At 39.2% G+C, this 23,818-nt stretch overlaps 1 long non-coding RNA gene across 2 annotated transcripts in view, besides 1 other annotated feature; it reads right to left on the reverse strand.

Annotated features, from left to right (window-relative positions):
* Nucleotides 4,342-4,542: a silencer, noted in NCBI's record as "peak5997 fragment used in MPRA reporter construct". NCBI's record gives its function as "represses an SCP1 promoter by STARR-seq MPRAs in K562 erythroleukemia cells {active_cell/tissue: K562}" and the evidence as "EXISTENCE:reporter gene assay evidence [ECO:0000049][PMID:32103011]".
* The window catches only part of LOC105377923 (uncharacterized), a 63,333-nt gene continuing 48,740 nt past the window's right edge, over nt 9,226-23,818 (reverse strand). For both annotated transcript variants that reach the window (XR_001744275.2, XR_001744274.2), the window contains exon 3: nt 9,226-9,654. This is a non-coding gene — a long non-coding RNA (uncharacterized LOC105377923). The remainder of the gene's footprint in view (nt 9,655-23,818) is intronic.

Consider the following 23,818-nt stretch of genomic DNA (forward strand, 5'->3'; position numbering starts at 1 on the left):
AGATATATGACGGAGATTGTCCTCTCAAAGAAGAATGAAGAGAAAGACTAGAGAGGTTGAGAGAAATCAAAAGAGCAGGCGTTACAAAAAGCAATTGAAGAAAATGTTGCCAGAAGGAAAACATGTTCAAGATCTCTACTCCCAGTATGGAACTTCAGGAAGTGTTGCCATTTTGTCTCAGATGTGGCAGTAAACAGGAACCTTGGCAAGGAATATGCTGAAACTAGAAAAATTGTCAGCATTTCTTCAGGGGAAAAAAAAGATTCTGCCCTGTTAAACCTTATCACTCAATTTTGGAGATTCCAATCTTTTCTAAGGATTAAAGCAGTCATTAAAGTTCAATCAAACAAAAAGAAATATTTGACTAAACTTGTTTCTGTATAGTAAGTGACATGCAAAAGGCTCTATCACCCAAGTTTTCTTCCCAAAGGCCGCATTAGGGACTCAGATTTTTGGACAGTATAATGGAAAGCTCCTTTCTTGGTGCTGGCTAAGACAACAAATACAAATGTCTTGACTCTGAAACCATGCCATAGGAGAATAGCATCAAGCAATGTCAAATACGACTCAGTGAAAGTAGGAATTGGCACAATAGCTGAGTTACTGCTTTAGATTCACAGAGTTCCTTTTAATAACAGCTTCTAAAACTTCCCACCTGGTCTGTTGAACATTACGTCATGTCAAACCTACTCTATACCCAAGGGATTAACACAGACAAGTGTAATGACTTGGCCAAGACAACACAAGTCAGGGAGGTCTTGAGGGCAAAGGCAATCTGCCAGGGCAAGGCTTATATGTTATTCTTCCCATCAATGCAAATAAAAGTTAAAATATGAGCATTCAGGGGTAGTTATTGCCTGAGAAGTGATATGAGGGAGTGGTACATACACAGAAAGAGTAATTGAGCAGTACACTTAGAATTTGTATACGTCACTGTATATGTGCTATACTTCACCAAAAATAAAATAAACATGAACATAAATACTATTTGATTTCAAAATGTTTACCTGGGTTTCCCTGACTTGAGGCTGTCACCAGTTGTACCAAACCATTAGCTTCATTTTCACTTAATTTTGCATGATTATTTTGGCCAGAATAGTGGGTAGTGGGTGTGATTGTCCCTAAAGGCCTGAACCTGTAACATATCTTCTGCATTAGGCTACTAGGCACTTAAGACACATCTATCATATTTAGTCATCACTTAAATCCAATGAGGTAGTTTTTATTGTTCTGATTTCACAGATAAGGAAATTGAGATACCAAGAGGCTAAATAACTTACTATATGTATCTGAGTCCAAAGCCAGTGATCTTTTCAATAAATCCAATATGAAATAAAGAAACATTGCCCAGGAAGAAATATGACCAAGTGGCAAGTTCCATCAGTAGACAAAGTGAGGACACATGAAAGACTAACCAAGGAGGAAGGCAGAAAAAGGGAAAGGACCCAGACTGTGGGAACAAAGCCTGCGTATGTGTGGGAAGCTTGGCAAAAGCTGTTATGCAGAGGATATTTTGAAAAAGTAAAACATGTAGAAAGAAGACACAAATAGATAATTTTAACTGTTTAAAGAAGATTACATCAGTCTAACATTTAGCCACTTTTGAACCTAAAGAGGACAGTCAAAATGGAAACATATTTTATTTCTAGAAAAATTTTCTCCAGCTGTTTTAACAAATTTTCTCCAACTGTTTTAACAAATTATTACACAATTATTTTCAAATGAGACTGTCACATCATTAATTTGGCTTTTTGGTCACCTTTTCTAAATGTTTTCCTTGGGTCTGGTCACTTGCTGAACTCTCATTAGTTGTGATAAATGATTATCTTTCAATTTTTAGGCATACCATCATATAATCCACAAAAAAGGATAATTCCACTCTTTCTTTTCAATTTGTATGCCTCTTATTTATATTTCTTGGCTTATTGCATTGGCTGGACTTTCTAGTTCAGTATTGACTAGTAACAGTAATAAGAGATACTCTTTTCTCTAATGGAAATGTTTCTAACTTTACATTTGTATTCTCCTTTCCTATATTTCAAAGTCTCTCTTATGTTCTACCTTTCTTTGCTTTTACTGTGCTTACATCTCTCTTGCAGAAAAAATATTGAAAAAATGGTGAACTAAGTTTCTGGTCCTTCTCCTTTAGACATGGGAAATGAAGGCTTCCAGCCTCCCAGCTGGGGTCTTGAAGCACCTGAATCCAGGGAATCCCCAGAGCCCAGGGGAGGGAGAAGGTGAACATAAGCATGTACCCATCACCACCCATGTAGAAGACGCAAACGCTCACCTTGTAAAGAGTGGAGAAGCCAGGGTGGGAGTCTAGGAGAGCCTGTGTGCCACATGGTCCATGTATCAAGGGGCCAGCACCAGTCTCTGGTTTCAGATACAGGATATGGGCACTGATTTGTCTGTTCATTACCATGTGCAGAGGTCACTGGGCATTTTCATGTGAACTAGAGTTTGTCATCTATTTGGATTCGTGGACTAACAGAGACCTGATTCTAAAGAGATGTTTCCTGCCTTATGAAACATGCCATTAAGAATTAAGAGGAATTGTTTATTCTTTTTTCTTTTTTCTTTTTTTTTTTTTTTTTTGAGTTGGAGTCTTGCTCTGTCACCCAGGCTGGAGTGCAGTGGCACCATCTCGGCTCACTGCAATCACTGCCGCCCAGGTTCAAGCGATTCTCCTGCCTCAGCCTCCTGAGTAGCTGGGACTACAGATGCCCGCCCCCACGCCCAGCTAATTTTTATATTTTTAGTAGAGACGGGGTTTCACCATGTTGACCAGGCTGGCCTAGAACTCCTGACCTCAGGTGATCCACCTGTCTCGGCCTCCCAAAGTGCTGGGATTACAGGTGTGAGCCACCGAGCCCAGCCTAAGGTTGGTTATTAATACTAAATAACATTTTTGCCCCACAGCATCAACATCACTACCCTAAGGATTTGAAAAATCAGAAGCATCTCCCTCACTGAGGCAGGAAGTCTTCAATCACCTCTGAATTCTGACCTCCCATCCATTAACATCTCTCCTTTGGCAGAATATGGAGACCAACAGAAATGCTTCAGACTACATAAGAATCACAGTCTCCTGACACATTGAAAAACTACAGAACATGAAAAAAAATTCTTTTACAACTTTTATCAGTTGCTACTTAGTAATATATTTAAAATATTCAAAATATGTGTAAATGAGGAAATTGGGCATAAGTATGATGTAATTTAAATATATATATACATATATGTGTGTATATATATGTATATACATATATGTGTGTATATATATGTATATACATATATGTGTGTATATATATGTATATACATATATGTGTGTATATATATGTATATACATATATGTGTGTGTATATATGTATATACATATATGTGTGTGTATATATGTATATACATATATGTGTGTGTATATATGTATATACATATATGTGTGTGTATATATGTATATACATATATGTGTGTGTATATATGTATATACATATATGTGTGTGTATATATGTATATACATATATGTGTGTGTATATATGTATATACATATATGTGTGTGTATATATGTATATACATATATGTGTGTGTATATATGTATATACATATATGTGTGTGTATATATGTATATACATATATGTGTGTGTATATATGTATATACATATATGTGTGTGTATATATGTATATACATATATGTGTGTGTGTATATATGCCATATATATATATATATATATATATATATAATGGTTTTCTTGATTTGGCTGAGATCCTTGGCACATGCAGAGCAACTATAACATCTAAGAAGTTATAGATTTAAGTAACCCCAAGCAGAATCTGATTGCCAGCTACCCCAGGTTCTCCTGAGAAAGTTGTGCCACTGATGAATCAGACATCACAGATATACATATACCAATATGTATATATATACCAATATCTTTTTTAAAAATCAAAGAGGTTCCTTGTCTGAAAATCACTATTGCATGGGATGGCTGTGATGATCCCATTGAGGGACAATATACATCAGAAGACAGTTCTCCTAATCCACACTCCAGCTCTTCCAGTTCTAGGGAGATCTGCCTACCTTTTTCCTTCCTCAACATCTAGACCAGAAAAGGTAGCCAGATTTAGAGAAGGAAATCAGAGGTGGGTACTTTAGTGTTTGACATCTTAGATTGAGAAAGGAAGAAAAGGGGAAGAGAAATCAAGCTATGCCTCCGAGACTAAGAACACAAGAATAATAAAAAGAACAAATAAAGCATTTGATACAGAAAGAAAAAAAATCATCTATGGAGACCAATGCTATCAGCTTCTTTAAATTACTGAGTGGAGAGTGAGAGGTGGTTGTCCCCTAAGCAAGTGGTGAAGTGAAGATACAAACATAGTGGGGATTCCTGAAGAGTCATTCTCTAAGACAAGACTTGGCCCCTGATGGCTTCTTACTAGCAGTATTTTCTTTTTGAGTCATGACTTTGCTTTTATAGAAATAGTCACAGACAAAATATTTTAAAAGATAACCATTTGAAGAAGAACAAAAACTTCCCTTTATCCACTCTATCTTCTCATCTTAGGGAACTTCTAAAAGTTAAAGCTTCAGCAAGTTGGACTTTTTTCTCCCTTTTTTTTTAATTGAGCTAAAATATACACAGAGAAAAGTACACATTTCATAATGTACAACGGGAAAAATTGTTGAAAATTAACACCCTCTGGTAACTAGCACCCAGTTTAAGAAACAATGTCACCAGCATCCCTCTTGCCCCTTTCCAGTAAATAATTCAAAGGCACCCATTATTTTGACCTCTACCAGCATTATCTGATTTTGTCCTTCAAAAACAATTGGATTATACTGTGTGTACTGTTTTATCTGACTTGTCTGATGCACTCACATTTTCATGTGTGGTTATAGGTCATTCATCTTTATTGCTATGTTGCATTCTAATATATGCATATATCACATTTTAATTGCTCAAATTTATTGTTTGTGGGCATTTGTGTCATTTCTAGTTTTGGCTCTTACAAATAGTGCTGCTGTAAACACTCTAGCACATGTCATTCAGGGTCCATTTTATTCCAGCCTTTAAAATTAAGGAGCATACCATTGGTGAAAAGGAGAAAAATATTGTATTAGAATTGATGGATACTTAAATGATGGATACTTAAAATCGCAGCCTTATGATTGCATGTTTGAATATCATTATGAAAATATGTTTCTGAAATTAAACTCTAAAAACTATAATAATATAATGATAAAATAAGAATCCTACTGAAAAGGAAAAGTTAACATCTACTTTTAAAACAGCAAGTACAAAAGGATAAATGTTTGAGGTGATGGATACCTCATTCTCCATGATGGGATTATTACGCATAACATGCCTGTTTCAAAATATCTCATATACCCCATAAATATATATACCTACTATGTATCCAGAACAATTAAAAATAAAAATTTTTTAAGTAAAATACTTTTTCTTTAAAAATAAAATCAAAATGACAAGTGCATGTGCCAAAGTAATACAAAGAAGCTAACAGTACAGGTCTTTTTCTTTTTTTAACTTCACATACTTATTTATTTCCATTAAGAAATAGAACTACCCAGAACAATTAAAAATAATTTTTTAAATGAATAAAATACTTTTTCTTTAAAAAATAAAAATAAAATAACAAGTGCATGTGCCAAAGTAATACAAAGAAGCTAATAGCACAGGTCTTTTTCCTTTTTAACTTCACATACTTATTTATTTCCATTAAGAAATAGAACTACCAAACCCACAGCCAATACCATACTGAATGGGCAAAAGCTGGAAGCATTCCCTTTGAAAACTGCCACAAGAAGAGGATGCCCTCTCTCACCATTCCTATTCAACATAGTATTGGAAGTTCTGGCCATGGCAATCAGGCAAGAGAAAGAAATAAAGGGTATTCAAACAGGAAGAGAGGAAGTCAAATTGTCTCTCTTTGCAGGTAACATGATTGTATATTTAGAAAACCCAATTGTCTCAGCCCAAAATCTCCTTAAGCTGATAAGCAACTTCAGCAAAGTCTCAGGATACAAAATCAATGTGCAAAAATCAAAAGCATTCCTGTACACCAATAATAGACAAACAGAAAACCAAATCATGAGTGAACTTCCATTCACAATTGCTACAAAGAGAGTAAAATACCTAGGTATACAACTTACAAGGGATGTGAAGGACCTCTTCAAGGAGAACTACAAACCACTGCTCAAGGAAATAAGAGAGGACACAAACAAATGGGAAAACATTCCATGCTCATGGATAGGAAGAATCAATATCGAGAAAATGGCCATACGGCCCAAAGTAATTTATAGATTCAATGCTATCCCCATCAAGCTACCATTGACTTTCTTCACAGACTTAGGAAAAACTACTTTAAATTTCATATGAAACCAAAAAAGAGCCCATATAGCTAAGACAATCTTAAGCAAAAAGAACAAAACTGGAGGCATCATGCTACCTGACTTCAAACTATATTACAAGGCTACAGTAACCAAAACAGCATGGTACTGGCACCAAAACAGATATATAGACCAATGGAACAGAACAGAGGCCTCAGAAATAACACCACACATCTACAACCATCTGATCTTTGACAAACCTGACAAAAACAAGCAATGGGGAAAGGATTCCACATTTAATAAATGGTGCTGGGAAAACTGGCTAGCCATATGCAGAAAACTGAAACTAGACCCCTTCCTTACACCTTATACAAAAATTAACTCAAGATGGATTAAAGACTTAATTAAATGTAAGACCTAAAACCGTAAAAACCCTAGAAGAAAACCTAGGCAATACCATTCAGGACACAGGCATGGGCAAAGACTTCATGACTAAAACACCAAAAGCAATGGCAACAGAAGCCAAAATTGACAAATGGGATCTAATTAAACTAAAGAGCTTCTGCACAGCAAAACAAACTATCATCAGAGTGAACAGGCAACCTAAAGAATGGGCAAAAATTGTTGCAATTTTCTAATTGCAAAGGGCTAATATCCAGAATCTATGAGGAACATAAGCAAATTTACAAGAAAAAAACAACCCCATCAAAAAGTGGGCAAAGGATATGAACAGACACTTCTCAAAAGATGACATTTATGCAGCCAAAAAACACATGAAAAAATCTCATCATCGCTGGTCATTAGAGAAATGCAAATCAAAACCACAATAAGATACCATCTCATGCCAGTTAGAATGGTGAACATTAAAAAGTCAGGAAACAACAGATGATGGAGAGAATGTGGAGAAATAAGAACGCTTTTACACTGTTGGTGCAAGTGTAAATGAGTTCAACCATTGTGGAAGACAGTGTGGCAATTCCTCAAGGATCTAGAACCAGAAATACCATTTGACCCAGCAATCCCATTACTGGTTATATACCCAAAGGATTATAAATCATTCTACTATAAAGACAACATGCACACGTATGTTTATTGCAGCACTATTCACAATAGCAAAGACTTGGAACCAACCCAACTGCCCATCAATGATAGACTGGATAAAGAAAATGTGGCACATATATACCGTGGAATACTAAGCAGCCATAAAAAAGGATGAGTTCATGTCCTTTGCAGGGACATGGATGAAGCTGGAAACCATCATTCTCAGCAAATTAACACAGGAACAGAAAACCAAACACCGCATATTCTCACTTATAAGTGGGAGTCGAACAATAAGAAGACTTGGACACCGGGAAGGGAACATCACACACTAGGGCCTGTTGTGGGGTGGGGAGGCTAGGGGAGGGATAGCATTAGGAGAAATACCTAATGTAGATGATGGGTTGATGGGTGCAGCAAACCACCAGGTCATGTGTATACCTATGTAACAAACCTGCACGTTTTGCACACGTATCCCAGAATTTAAAGTATAATAAAAAAGAAAAAAATAGAACTACTTATATGATTCAGCAATTTTATTACTGGATATATACCCAAAGGAAATGAAATCTGTAAGTCAAAGAGATAGCTGCACTCCCATGTTCACTGTAGCACTATGTATGGAATCAACCAATGAGTCCATCAATAGATGAATGGATAATGAAAATATGGTATATTTACAAAATGGAATACTATTCAGCCTCAAAAGAGAAGGAAATTTTGTCATTTGCAAAAACACGTATGAACTTGGAGGATATTAGTTCAAGTGAAATAAGCCAGGCACAGGAAGACAAATACCACAGCATCTCACTTACGTGTGGAATCTAAAAATGTTGGATTCAGACACAAAGAGGAGAATGGTGATTAGTAGGAGCTAGCAGAAAGGGGAGGGGATTGGGGAGATGTCAGTGAAAAGATACAAAATTTCAGTTAGGAGGAATAAGTTCAAGAGATCCATTGTATAATATGGTGACTATAGTTAATAAAAATATATACTTGAAAGTTGCTGAGTAGATTTTAAGCATTTTCACAGCAGGCCAAATTTTTATGAGACTCTTAAACGTGCATATTATGGCCAGTGGAGCTTAGCTCTTCACGAATGTGAGGTGCTATCATTAGGAATAAATTTTTGTTTATAAATCCCCTTACCTTTGTTCCCCAAAACACTCATTTACTCCCACCAGGAACAAGCACTCAAACCACAACCAAGTATGATATTCAGAAGTTTTACTAGCTGAAGAAAGTCAATCAGTCCAAGAAATGTGTATGACATCTTACTTCTGTCTTCTCCTGGGTTCAGATCCTTAACTTGCTAATTCACTATAATGGGAGTTAGCAAAGCTTGGCCCTCAGGACAAATCCAGACCACAGTCTGCTTTCTTTTTTTTTTTTTTTTTTTTTTTTTGAGACGGAGTCTCGCTCTGTCGCCCAGGCTGGAGAGCAGTGGCGTGATCTCAGCTCACTGCAAGCTCCGCCTCCCGGGTTCACGCCATGCTGCTGCCTCACCCTCCCGAGTAGCTGGGACTACAGGCGCCCGCCACCACGCCCGGCTAATTTTTTGTATTTTTAGTAGAGACGGGGTTTCACCGTGTTAGCCAGGATGGTTTCGATCTCCTGACCTTGTTATCCGCCCGCCTCGGTCTCCCAAAGTGCTGGGATTACAGGCATGAGCCACCGCACACAGTCTGCTTTCATAGAGCCTACAAGCTAAAGAACGGCTTCCCATTTTTAAGTAATTGAAAAAAATCAGATAAAGATTTTCATAATATATAAATTAAATAAAATTATGTTATATAAAATAATATATAAATTATTTAAAATTCAAATCATTGGCCTTAAATAGTTTTCTTGGAAGAGAGCCACACTTATTCATTTACTTCTTGTCTATAGCTGTTTTTGTGCTACAACGGTCAAGTGTTCTGACATAAACCACATGACCTGCAAAACCAGAATAGTTCTCTCTGATGCTTTACAGAAAAAGTTTGCCAGCACCTGCACTGCATAAAGTCTGGCTGTTCCCATCCTACAGTCTGAGAGCTTCATATGTCATAATGTACTCAGTATAATTCAAATGCAATATCATTAAAAAGGACAAAAGCAAACATTTATATTGGATTTTGTGGGACAAACCTTATTCGAAATGTTCCACCATGTTGTCCATACGTAATATTCTAATGGATGGGCGTTGTCCATATGTAATATTCTAATGGTTCGGTAACACCAATACTTTAAACTTTCAAGCAACATCTCCAAATTTCCTCTTGCATCTAGAAGAGACAAAAATTCTTGTTCAGAGAACACATGCCTTGATTTGGGGCTAAGAAACATGCTGACTGAGCCTTGGTGCTCCTTACACTTAGATTTAACCTGAAGGTAAAAGTCTGATAGAAATAAGTAACCAGAAAAGCACAAACATTGAAGCACTCTCAGAAAAACTCAGCCCATTACATGTTTCTTTTAGATTATTAGAAATGATTCAGCTGCTCCAGTAACAATTTCTTTTGCCATGGGAAAGAAATCTACTCCACCTAACTGCAAATGTTTTTAAACTAAATTTCCTTCTCAAAGAGTTACCACATCTACTGTTAATAACATAACTGATTGTAAACTGTTTTTAAATCTTTTCAGATTTATTAGAGGTGGGGGGTAGGGAAGTTAGTCTAGAATGTAGAAAAGCTGCATTCTAGCTAAAGAGGTGAGTCTAACCTAGCCTTCTAGTTAGTCTAGAATGTAAAATGGCAGTCACAATGACAAGTTTCAATGGATCTCAATAGAGACTTAAGTGCCTTGCAAAACAAGACTGTCATTTCCAAAGTAGCATCCTGAAATGTTTAAATGTTTATGATAGAAACCACTCGAATCATCCCCAGCGAGTTTCTCAGAAGGGGCAGCTGGAGGAGGGAAGGGCAGCTGGAGGAGGGGAAGGGGCCGCAGGAGGAGGGGAAAGGGAGGCAGCTGGAGGAGGGGAAGGGGCAGCTGGAGGAGGGGAAGGGGCAGCTGGAGGAGGGGAAGGGGCAGCTGGAGGAGGGGAAGGGCAGCTGGAGGAGGGGAAGGGGCAGCGGGAGGAGGAGAAGGGGCAGCTGGAGGAGGGGAAGGGGCAGCCGGAGGAGGAGAAGGGGCAGGTGGATGAGGGGAAGGGGGAAGCTGGAGGAGGGGAAGGGGAGGCTGGAGGAGGGGAAGGGGGGCAGCTGGAGGAGGAGAAGGGGGACAGTGGAAGGAGGGGAAGGGGGGCAGCTGGAGGAGGGGAGGGGGCAGCTGGAGGAGGGGAAGGGGCAGCTGGAGGAGGGGAAGGGGGCAGCTGGAGGAGGAGAAGGGACAGCTGGAGGAGGGGAAGGGGCAGCTGGAGGAGGGGAAGGGCCAACCAACTGGAGGAGTTCATTATTAGATTATGTTTTAAAGGTAATAAATCCACTACCTTTTCTCAGATATTTAAAAGAACTACCATAGGAAATGGTGAAATAGGGAAGGACATTAGACTCAAGAGGGAATAATTTATTACAGTCTCAGAATTCTCTAACTCATCAGCCACAAAGTATATCTGAGGAGGCTCCATTCATTATGCAGGATCCATGTGATACATGACGAGTAAAAGGCGGGCTTCAACTCCCAAGGGGCCTGCATGCTTGTTAGTGAGACATGGCAGAACTTCACTCTAATAGGCATTTCTAAATGAAACTACTATGGAAAACATAACAGAAAAAGAAATCATACCCTGAAACCATATTATGAGTAGGAGGAGACTCAAACGTACTTTTCCTAGGGGGTTCTCAGTTGCTTTTGCTAATGAGGCAAACAGCTCTGCTCCATAGATTTTAGCTTCTGTGGATTGGAGAATGAAGCAGAAATTACTGTGTTTTTTCTCAGCTGCAGAAAAGGTAACTGAACTAGACAAGTTCTGCACCTAAGGCAGTGACTGAGCCTACAGACTCCGAGCACCAGGAAAATTGCATCAGTAGGGAAGAATCAGACAGCCATGGTGTGGATGGAGGACGAGATGAGCTGGGAGACACAAGAAACAGCACAGTGGGAGAGAGAGTGAGACTGACAAACCTTCTGTGAAAATACATCCACAGAACTGGCCAAGGACTTCTCATAGAGGGTTTTAACATCCACATTTTGTTGTGGCCAAGTTTCCAAAAGGAAAGTTTAAGGAAGAGAGTGATTTTTTTAAAATGTGTGACTAGATGTCTCAAGGGAACACCTCTTCCCAGTGTAACTATGCTCTCTATGTACCAACCACAGACTTGTCCAGATGAGCTCTCGGCCTCTCACCTAGTTTTCCTCATTGTCAAGAGCACCCACTTAAGTGAGAGTTTCCCAGGAATTATGGTCTGTGGTCTTGAAAAAAGGCCCAAGGAACACCCCCGATAGAAACAGACAATTTGGGCCCATTAGGCTCTTCTGGCTCAGGAGAACATGGCACGCTGGCCATTCCACGCAGTCTCTACCTTCTCCCTTCAACCTAGGTCACACACAGACAAGCTTCCCTCATCTGTACATACCACAGACTTAACTTTCACCGCTGAGTAGGGGAGGATTTCTCAATGCACCATTGCCCTTTGGCAATTCCCTGTTGAAATATGTATTTCTGGGCCTGCATGTACCTTAGGGTTCATGCACTTAGTGATTCTTTCTGTTTTATAAAGCTAATTGCCTCTGTAGCAATTTCTACACCCTTAGGTGCCACGACAGTCTATGTTTTTGGAAATGTGAGCACTCACTCAAACTGACTTCAGAGCTATAATTTATGGAACAGATTGAGTCACTGATCTCAGTTGGCCGCCTTTGTCCTGGTGCACTTCCTTCTTTTCTAAAGGGAATTTTCTTTGAAGAAGAAAAAAATCACTTTTAGATTACTTGCTGTAGAACATTTTTGAAAGGGAGTTTTCTTGGAAAATTATATAAATCCAATGGTGAAGTTCTCATAGAGCAAAAAGTCTGCTCTTAGATATATGCTGTAAACATTTACAAAGAGCCTACAGAAAATCTTACATAGTGGAGATTGTTTTTAAGATATTTTAATAGAAAAAAATTAACCCTTAATAAAGTTGATTTGGGGGTCTACCACTACCTAGTCCTAGCCATTTAACCTCTCTGGGCCTTACTAGCCAACAATTATAAAACAAATTAGTTGGATAACATAATTGTATTTTATCGTGCTGAGAATAAATATAAAATGAAAAATGTTTGTTTGTTTGTTTGTTTGTTTGTTTGTTTCCCGAGACAGAGTCTCGCTCTGTTGCCTGGGCTGGAGTGTGATGATGCAATCTCGGCTCACTGCAACCTCCACCTCCCAGGTTCAAGTGATTCTCCTGCCTCAGCCTCCCAAGTAGCTGGGATGACAGGCATGCACCACCACAGCCAGCTAATTTTTGTATTTTTAGTAGAGATGGGGTTTTACCATATTGGCCAGGCTGGTCTTGAACTCCTGACCTCAGGTGATCCACCCAACTCAGCCTCCCAAAGTATTGGGATTACAGGCGTGAGCCACTGTGCCTGGCCGAAAAATGTTTTTAATACTACAATTAAATATGTATTCTAGTAAGATTTTTAAAATCCTGATTTACAAACCTACATAATAGGAGGTAAATACAAATGTTATATGTCAATTTATATAGGAAGAATCCTTTTCATAGCCAGTTGATGCAGGAATCTCTCAAAATGTGATCTAATTCACAAAATTGATCCAATTCACAAAAACTTACAAATGTAACCACTGGAGCCCTCAAAGTGCTTGAATATGATGCCTTTAATGTACACGTCGATCAATACTTTAAAATCTATTGGATACATTGATGTCCTGAGCATTTTCTAGACATCTAATTTAATCATCACTAACCTAGAATTTACAGATAAACTGGGGGTCGACTGGATGACTGCTGTTTAAGGTCACACAGGGAGTGAGCTGGTGCCAAGGTTTGAATCCCACCTGAGGCTGACATAACTATTCACTACTAACTCTTCGTGCTTTATACAGTTTGGTTCCTGTGAGTCCTTATTTTGTCACAAAAGGAGATCTGATCAAGTTTATTCATTCTTTTAAAATAGATTTTTGTTTTAAGTTCCTTCTTCCTCCATTCCCTCTCCCAACTCCTTTCAATTTTAATGTTCTTTTCCCTTTTGTGGCTGGGTTTGATTCTACACAGACTTCTTAGGAAAATTGTGTTCGTGTAAAACTGAAGAGTCCAAGGGCTTCCTCACTGGAATAAGCAGGTCTCATTTGAGGGTGGGGAGCTCTTGACGAGGGGAAGTGGCTCACTTCAGGAAGTCCTGAGAACGGATTTTCTTATGTACATGTGCAAGTTTTTATGTATCTGCATACTTTACTCTCTTTAGTTGATGTAAAATGTTATGACTATTGTTTTCTTTTCTAAAGGAAGAGTTTCACCTGCATTCTATCTCACTTACTAAATGCGAGCAATCACCAGATCTCTTGTAATTCTACAAAAGCAATTAATCAAAATGGTGACTTCCAAATTGTTGTCTTCCCAGTTATGTCTATAAGCAAATTGAGACCTGCCAAATATCAGTCTCAAAAATGCATATTTTTCCTGCATGCATAACTCCTGCACTAACGCTGTGTCTTGAGAACAAATGGTATGCAGTGCCAAAGCCTTAGGAAGGTCACTTTTTTTTTCATTCTCATGTTTTCTTTCTAACCTACTACTCATAGAGTCACAGGAACTTCTGAGAGCCTTCTATTTTAGACCTATATATTAGATGGTTACTAATTACTTTGAACTGATTGTTTTTTCCTGTTGAATATTCCGGATTTCTGATTGAGCAATATCTTGAAATTCCAAAAGTTGGCATGCTGGTAGTTTCCTTATGTTCCACACATTTTCAAGCACATTGACAGTGACTGTTCCCTGTTTCCAGAGGATGAGGACAGTGGTACCATGTTCCTTCATCAGCTTGCACAATCAGCCCAATTGTCCTCAGATGGATCGTTCACACTGTGGCAGATTGTCTTGACTGCAAGTTCTTCTCTTGGCTCTGAAATCTTCTGCTTAAACAAGTTATTTCATTGACATAAACAGGATCTTCTTATCCTGGCCCAACACTAACTGGAAGAAAAACCTTTTTAGGATTTGTCTTTCTCTGCCACAGAGAAAGTGTGACCCCAGAAGCTTGAAATGGGCACCATTTTGTAAAGCTAGGCCTCAGCATTACTCCGAAATTCATGATATCTTGGGAACCAGGTGTGCAGTCAAAAATAACAGCTTTTATTTCTGTAACTTTTATTTCTGTAGCTCTTATTTCTGTTCACTTAGAGTGAACAAAACTCATTTACATACATTATTTCATTGATTCTAACAATAATCCTGTGAGGTAAGCAGGACAGAAACTTATTGCTATTTTTCAGATAAGGAAACCAAATTCAAATAAATTGTTATTATTCATAAAATGATAGTAACCGACACCATATAGGGTGTTTGGGGCACAAAGCGCTTTCCTATGCATGAACTCAATCGTACTGACAGCAACACTGCAAGGAAGTCAGACAAATTATCCCACTGTTTCAGCTTAAGAAGCAGATGAATAAAGGGATTCCTTGTTAGGATTTCTGCTCACAAATGTTTCTACAAAGCTCTTTGCAGAACACACCCTCTCAGAAACTGCCCCTCCTGGTGGGCAGCTTCAGGGAGTGCTTGCTGCAACACGTTCTGCTTGCTAGTTCTGACCCCACCCTTCCTCCCACTCACTCCCAAACCCACCGTCAGCCTCAACGCAGCTGTGGAGAACAACTCAATTCGATATATTTTTATTGATAATTTGAATAAAGGTAACATAAATAACATGACTTAAATTTTGGAAAATAGACAAAGAAGAAAAAAACCAACAAGAAGTCCCATGACCTCAATCTCTGTATTAGGCCAAGTTTCCTCTAGCTTTCTTTCCCCCATGCATCTGCTTTTCTTCTATTTGTAATCATAAGATCGATTTGTATACATTTTAAATCTGCATCATTTCCACTTGACAGAGTATTCTTTTTTTTTTTTTTTGAGACAGAGTCTCTCTCTGTCTACCAGGCTGGAGTGCAGTGGCGTGATCTTCACTCACTGCAACCTCCGCATCCCGGGTTCAAGTGATTTTACTGCCTCAGCCTCCCAGAGATCACAGGCATGCACCACCACGCCTGGCTAATTTTTGTATTTTTAGTAGAGACAGAGTTTCACCATGTTGGCCAGGCTGATCTCAAACTCCTGACCTCAAGTGATCTGCCCGCGTTGGCCTCCCAAAGTGCCCGGATGACAGGCAAACTTCCGATTTTCTAATCGCTGAGGACACATAGCTCAGACATATGAGTATAGATAATTTTTCTTCTATATTTCAAGTTCAATATTATTAAAAGACTATAAAATCTACAGTCCTTATTGTAACAACACAAGAGAAGCTACAGACACTGGATGACTGTGGTTTCAAATCATAAATGTTTCCTCTTGATTCTAGACTCCTATGGAAGTCTAGATTCAAGTTACTGTTGCATCCACTGTTGAATCTCCAATGCCTGTTGCAATGTGTGGCACAGTAAACATGCAATAAATACATATTGGCTGAGTAAAGAAACTAATATCAGAGTAACTAGAAGTTATTGACTCCTGCCTCAAGTAAGCAGGCTGACTGGAGGAACTTAGTTTGCTGAAGACACCTGTTTGAGAGGAAGTGGGAGTTAAATGACCTAACTTACTAGTGTAAAAAAAAAAAAAAAAAAAAAAGGACATAAATATATGTAGTCTGCTTAACGATAGCAGTAAAGGGCCTCACTGTAGTGCCCCGGTTCCTCCGAAACATAAATGCGAAGGACAAGAGGATCTAGCATGTGTCTGAAACGCCATCACTGAATCCTCTTGATATTCTTTAAGACGCAAATCCACAGAGCTTCACCAGAACAGCCAAAGATTATCATTTTGAAGAAAGGGGATATAGTGAAACAAACATGTATGTACCAAAGACAGCAAAAGGGCCTACGTCCGCTGACATGTTCAAACGTTTTAAGGAAAGCTATTATTTCAAGCACATGACAAAAGGATAGAGAAGGGAGTAGAATGAATTACAGAATAACTAGTGTTTACGCCTGAGAGGTCCCTGGGCTGTTCTGTACCTCCTGGAAACTGTTTATGTGCACAAGTCCTGTGATCATGGGGCTATGATTAGTGGATGCTGACAGTGTGACAGCAGAGGAAGGCATGAATCACCACTGTTCCATATAGGAGAAAGGTGAACAAGACCGACTCTGCCCCAAAGACAGTCTTCTTTTTCCACATTCTAAGTTCTGGTGACTTGGTGCTATAGGACAGGGTAGGAAAAAGAGAGAGGACTGATGAGGAATAAATTTCATGATTTTAGGAAATTCCACTTCTGAAAACTCATCTTTTGTGACATTATAATTTCTTAATTTATACCTAACAGCTAATAATTTTCCATTTTCCACAGACTCATTATCTTTTAAAATTATTGAAATCTTCAAATGCCTGGCACTGCATTTCTGAAATGGTCCTATCTGTAGGAAGATGTTTATTTCACTTTGATCCAAGCTTTCTCTGCATCAAGAACCCAAGACGGGAATGCTACCAGTCAAGGGAAGGTAAATAAAAATTGATGACTTCCTCAGTTTTCTAGGAATTATCCACCAATGAATTTGACTGGATGGTTGAGTTGTAGTAAATATGTCACAGCATTAAGGATATTTTGTTGTCATCTGGAAATGGTAGAAAAAGTAGCCAGAAAAAGCTCTTTCCTGAATGCAGGTGGAGATGTCCATTCTTGGCAAAGTCTATACAATAATGCTTGATTGAGATGCTTGACCTGTCTTTTGCTACAAAAGCAGAATATGAATCTCATTTGAAGCACTGAACTAGAGTAAAATGTGACAATATTCAAAACTGCCTGAATCAGTCATAAAACACTAGTCGGCTTCAAGTATTGGCATTCTTTAAGAAAGACACTGAGGTTCTGAATACTTTGAATCTGTTATGTCTGTCCCTTTGAGTGGAGTACAGCCAGTCCGTATCTTACTGTCCTTTCAAGAAAAGTTCTTGAACAAAGTGGATGCACTTTCTGTCATGGAAGTCAGTGGTGGATTTGGAAACGTAGCCTTCTTTTATCTTCCCGTGGGTCTTTTCTCGAATCTGAAAAGCTGACACTTATTGGATTATAGGGTGGGGATCATAGGGTGGGGAAAACCCATCCTATGGATGATAGGCTGGGGAAAACCAGTTAACTACAGGTAATCAAGAAGAAAATGCCTTCTGAATGACATGAGGTGGGACATTTGAAGAGAGTTGATGTCATCTTCTGATGCCTTTCCAGTGATTTGCTTAGAAGAAATCTGTCCATGATCACTTAAATAGAGGCAGAAAAAAAACCCTGGGGTTAGACGAGGCCTTTATCCACAGCTGAAACTGATGAGGCCTCCTGGCAAGACCCCAAAGCCAAAGACTTTGTTTCCTGTCTTCTCAAAGTCCTGACCTCCAGTATTTAGGGAACCAATAACATTTTTTCATTTCTGGAGTTATGTTTCTCATGCAACTCATGGCAGCTGCTTGCCAGCTCAGCATTTAGACTAATTTGTTACAGAAAATGGGGTAAATGTGTGTTCACCAAGGTCCAAAAATTAATATGAGGTCTAAACATATTTATATGCAACCTAACAAGGTATATGATACTTTTATCAGCATGTGTATTGTAAAATTAGAACTTTGGAACTCAGAACATTTCATTTCTAGATGTGTCTCAGTTTCTCACATTAGTTGTTTTGGTTTATTTTGTTTTGGTTTTAGAAAATGGGATGACAAAATATTCTGATAGTGATTATCTTTTTTAAAAAGATAAATTGTTTTTAAAGACAGTTTTAAAAAATTCTCTGAGAAGAAATATAATTTGTATATTAACTGCAAATAAGTATTATTTTAAAATATTTTCTTCCATATATATAGTAGCCATGGGATTTATATATAGCCTTAGCAATCTTGCATACTTATTTTGAGGACTGAAAACTTCTGCCCAAATAATGGGGGGGGGAAAAAAACCAGAAGAACATATATATTGTGTCCATTTCCTCAGATACCAAAACTTTGCAAGCAGTCGGCACATATATGTCATATTACTATCCACCTCCACTTGAAAAATATTGTAATATTCAAGTACAAAGAGGAAAAACTAATATTTGATTGTCCTATCTGTAGCTAAAAACCATCCATTGGAAGCCACATATATTCACTTCATTTAAAAAGATTTTCCAAGAACTCTCTCAAAAGAACCAGAAAGCTTCCCAAGCCATAGCCAGCACATTGTTCCCTTGTCCTCTTTGGGGTTTTATAACAACAGTTGATGAGAGAAAAGGTAATGAGCTGTGGCAACATTTTTTCAAGTTTAAAGCCTCCTCAAATGTTGGAGTTTGGATCCAGGTTAAGTATTTTGCTGCATAATTATTTATGCATCTATTTTTGGCCAAATATAACTCCCTGTTTCTAGGAAGGAAGAAGGTTGGAACAGTGTAGTGAAAAGAATCATGAGGCTTCTTTCATACCAAAGAGTGCTCACAAAACCACATTTTGATGAGTTATGTGTAAATGAATCAGAAACTTATGGTTTGCATTTCCCTAAAAAACACAGAGATTTTTAAAATAAATGAATAAAAAAGATGTCCCCCATACAATACATTTGGCATATTGCCCATTAACACTTCAAAGAAGATAATTCAACACTTGCAGTAGACAAAAAAGAGATTTGCCCAAATCTGGTCTGAGAGTATGGGAATGCATCTTAGCTGTGGCCAGCGCTGTAGATCCACCTTCAAGGATTCATCTTCTGTGACCAAGACCAAGTTAAGCACAAAATCACACACACACAGTTTTTCAACTTAAAATGGTAAAACAGTTCCTTAACTGCTTAACATTTTCTTTAAAGAAAAAAAACTGATGGACACCATCCACAGTGGACAAAATAAAACATAACTCATTATTCTCTATCTTTAAAAACTCATTTATTAATTCTTTCAACAAATATTTATTGGACACCTGCTATGTACCAGGCACTCTTCTGGGCTCAAGGGGTTCTAATGGTAAATATGACAGATGAGGCTCTGTATTTATGGAGTTTGTCATGACAGAAACCCTTCTCTGCCATGTCAATGTTATAAAGCAATTCTTGTAGACAATTCCAAGTTATTGTCAAAAACTTGGATTTAGACATCTGGATGACTAACTTTGTGAACCTCCTGAACATCTGAGGAAGAGGGAAGAATAAAAGGACCCAGAGAGCCTCCAAGAAGATGTTATGACAGGCAGGCCTCAAATTTACTTGGGTTAGCTTTCTAGCAAAGATACTGTGTAAATTGATCTGCTTTTCAGAAAGCAGCCGATATCATAAAATAAAGTGATGTTTCTTTTCAAGGGTGTCATCTTAATCAGCTATAAGTGATGCAACTGTACCTTACAAGGCAAAAACCTTTAACCAAATATAAATCAATTCAACAGGGCAAGCGCAGAAGTAGCATTTTCTGTATTTGCAGCTCAAGAGAGGTGCTATGAGGAACTGCGGAAACTCATAGGGCCTAAAGAGCAGCTTCAGATGTTGCCCAGAACTTAGATGCCCTGACCTATGCATGTATCATGGAACCAGCAGGACGTTCAGGTGGATCTCCAACTTCCCAAAATCACCCACAGCTTTCATCTTAAATCACACACCACGACCCAACAACCTGCTGTTTCAAGCTCTGACTCCCTGACCCTCATCTCCCTCCTTCTACAGCTCTTCCTGTGGCTTCAAAACCCCCTACCCAGACAGGTACCCCCACTCTCTCACCCCAGCATTCTTCATCTTAACTTCCTAGGTGTTTCCCTGAAGGTTACATCCCCAGTGCCTACCCCCATTCCTGGGTCATGGTCAGTAAAACATTTTTGTTGGATGGATGGATGGATGGATGGATGGACGGATGGTTGGATGGATGGATGGATGGATAAGCTTCCCTGGAAAAAAAATCTTGACCTGAGGTTTGTCAGAAACTAATGCTTCCATGTCAGCCACTGGCGAGATGCCGCAGCCAGATTCTCCCCATCACTAAATCCCTGGTAGAAGTCAACATGAGTAGATTTTGCTGTCAAAGAGACCAAGACTTTGGCCAATTACTGAACATCTCTGAGCCTCAGGGCCTCATGCAACATCTGCCTCATTCAGGCTGTTGAGGATGGAATGAGATGGGCTCCATAAAGCACCAGGCACATGCTAAACACTTCCTCTCCACCCATCCGTCTTCTAAAGTCAAGTCAATTAAGCTGAGAAAAAAATATTTAACCACATGCAATTACATTTGATTTGAGAGCTCCTGAGGAAGAGGGTTGGGAAGGGCTGAAGAGTTTGGGAAGTCTTGAGAAAACTTGTTGATATTTTCTTGAGAACAGCTATGCCTAAGAACTGTAACCAGGGACACCATGGAAAGGGTGGCGAAAAAGGAGTAAGTTGTCCTAGAATGTGTTAGATTCAGAATTTGTCAGGAAGCGGTGACAAGATCAGTGGTCTCCAAAGTGCACGACATAACCCACTGGGGTGTGGAAAGAAAGCAATAAAACCTCTATTTATAGTTTTTTAGTCTAAAAAAAAATACTTTTCTAAGTTAAGCTTTCCCAGTATTTACTATATAATTAACACTGGCCTCCTCAGAGACACTGGTTTCTTCATCCTATCTATGTGTCAGGAGAGTACTGCCCTCAATGATGGCTCAAAGGGTCCCCAGTGGTAGGGTTCCCTTGGTAGACAGTGGCACTAGGGGCTTGTAATGCATTGCAGCTCACATGTGCCTGGTTAAGTAGGCTTTCGGCTCATACAATCTAGTCTGAACTAAACTAGCCTTCTCAAAACAATCAGATGGCCCAAAAATTTCCTTTGAAGAAATTTTTGGATTGAAAAGAAGAGTAATACTATAAGGATAAACAAACAACAAGAAACTGGCAAAGCCAACACTTCTACTCTCCTCCTCATCCACATTATGAGATAAAAACCATGGTGACCTCATCAGAACTGACATATTAAACCACACTGCTCTCATTATAAATATTATTCACAGTATTTATCTCAGCAAGAGCAAAAAGGTCTTTTGTACTATTGAACTACATAAATTAAAAATTATCTCATGCTACTATAAAGACACATGCACACGTATGTTTATTGCGGCACTATTCACAATAGGAAAGACTTGGAACCAACCCAAATGTTCAACAATGATAGACTGGATTAAGAAAATGTGGCACATACACACCATGGAATACTATGCAGCCATAAAAAATGATGAGTTCATGTCCTTTGTAGGGACATGGATGAAGCTGGAAACCATCATTCTCAGCAAACTATCGCAAGGACAAAAAACCAAACACCGCATGTTCTCACTCATAGGTGGGAATTGAACAATGAGAACACATGGACACAGGAAGGGGAACATCACACACCGGGGACTGTTGTGGGGTGGCGGGAGGGGGGAGGGATAGCATTAGGAGATATACCTAATGCTAAATGACGAGTTAATGGGTGCAGCACACCAACATGGCACATGTATACATATGTAACAAACCTGCACGTTGTGCACATGTACCCTCAAACTTAAAGTATAATAATAAAAAAAGAATCATAATTTGAATAATAAAAAAATGCTTAAAACATTTTTATGGCAGCCTTAGCTCATGCTACCACTAAAAATTATATGTTATGTATGATTTATAAAATGTTTCATATTTCCATGCAGTAGAACATGCATCTATTTCATCCATAAATAAATAGAGATACACTGGAGGCACATGTTTTTAAGTTTTGACTGACAAGGGTTTCCCCCGATGAGATGGGAGACCCTGCTCTATACAGCAGTTTGTATATGCACATTCTGCAAGAGATCACCTGATTGCAATGAGTAGAGCACTGCGACTAAGAATGGGTGTGAGCCAAGTCCTGTCTGGGTTCCTGGAGACCACCAACAGTCAGCCCATGGAACAGAATCCATGATGGCAGGCGCCCCAGAGCTGTTAGGTTTACATCCCGGAGAAACAACTGCACGGTCAGCGGCCAGGAGCCGCTTCCTTCCCAGGAAGGAAGATTAGCCCACCCGAAGACCCAATAACACTGGTGAACACTTATGGTCCTGTTTACAACCCTTACTCCTTGAGAAGGTCAGTTCAAGACTACAGAAGATTGTAAGGAGGAAGTAGAAAGATAAATGGAATGTGGCTTTTTGGATAGGAAGGGGGAAACTTTCCATTGTAGCAATCAGTCTGGAGGAACATAGTGAGATAGAATTTGAAGAGAAGAATACAAGGGGCAGTGCAAAAGAATGACTTGGTCAGGGGCAGAGATGAAAGATGAACCAAGCTACCATTCTAGCAAGCAGAAGTAGGGAAGGAAGCACTCTAGATGCAAGGATTCTCTGCTTGAGACATAATAATTAATAGTGACATGCTTCCCAGTAGCAGAAAAGAGTGCAGGAAAGAGGAGGGGGAGTGCTCATGATTTAGCCGGAACTAGGGAATTCAAAACAGGCATACACGCGGATGTGGGCAGATCCCATTGAGGAGGGTGCTACCTCCGTAGCGAGTGCTGTCAGGGAACCCAGTATGCAGGCAAGCAAAGTGCAAGGTGGTTGATGTTTTAGCTTCCTCAACCTCCCCATCCTTCCCCACTCCTCAATTTAGCAGGGCACTTTTTTTTTCTTTTCTTGACGGAGTCTTGCTCTGTCACCCAGGCTGGAGTGCAGTGGCGCAATCTCAGCTCACTGCAACCTCCGCCTCCCAGGTTCAAGCCATTCTCCTGCCTCAGCCTCCCGAGCAGCTGGGATTACAGGCACGTGCCGCCACACCCAGCTAATTTTTGTATTTTTAGTAGAGACAGGGTTTCACCATGTTGCCCAAGCTGGTCTCGAACTCCTGACTTCAGGTGATCCACCTGCCTTGGCCTCCCAAAGTGCTGGGATTATAGGCATGAGCCACCGTGCCCGGCCGTACTAGGGCATTCTTAATGGTAGTCTGGTGGTGGGGGGCAGTGTAGGAGACGACGAGAAGGGAGGTGGACATTTCTACTGAGGAGATAAAAAAGGAAATGACACCAAGAGGACAAGAAAAGAGAGCAGGAAAAAGAAGTGGCAAAAGAGAAAAGAGGTGGAAGGGGAGTCATTGACCAGAGGAAAAAAAAAAACTACAAAAGCACAATAAAAATATCAATAAGATTTAAAAATTAGTGAAGGATGATAAAAATATTGGGGCTGAGGAGTAGAGTTCCATCACAAAAGATAGGAATAAACCAGCCAGAATTTTAGTGTGTGGTAAAGTACATTTTACTCATATGACTCTATAGAAGAAAGAAATCTACATGGGGCCCAAACCCTCATTTTGGGGATGATAAAACTGAGCCCCTGCCCACCCCCAAGAAGGTAATCAGCTTTCCTAGGAG

Source organism: Homo sapiens, chromosome 6 (assembly GCF_000001405.40).
Source record: "Homo sapiens chromosome 6, GRCh38.p14 Primary Assembly".
In the NCBI taxonomy this organism is placed as follows: domain Eukaryota; kingdom Metazoa; phylum Chordata; class Mammalia; order Primates; family Hominidae; genus Homo; species Homo sapiens.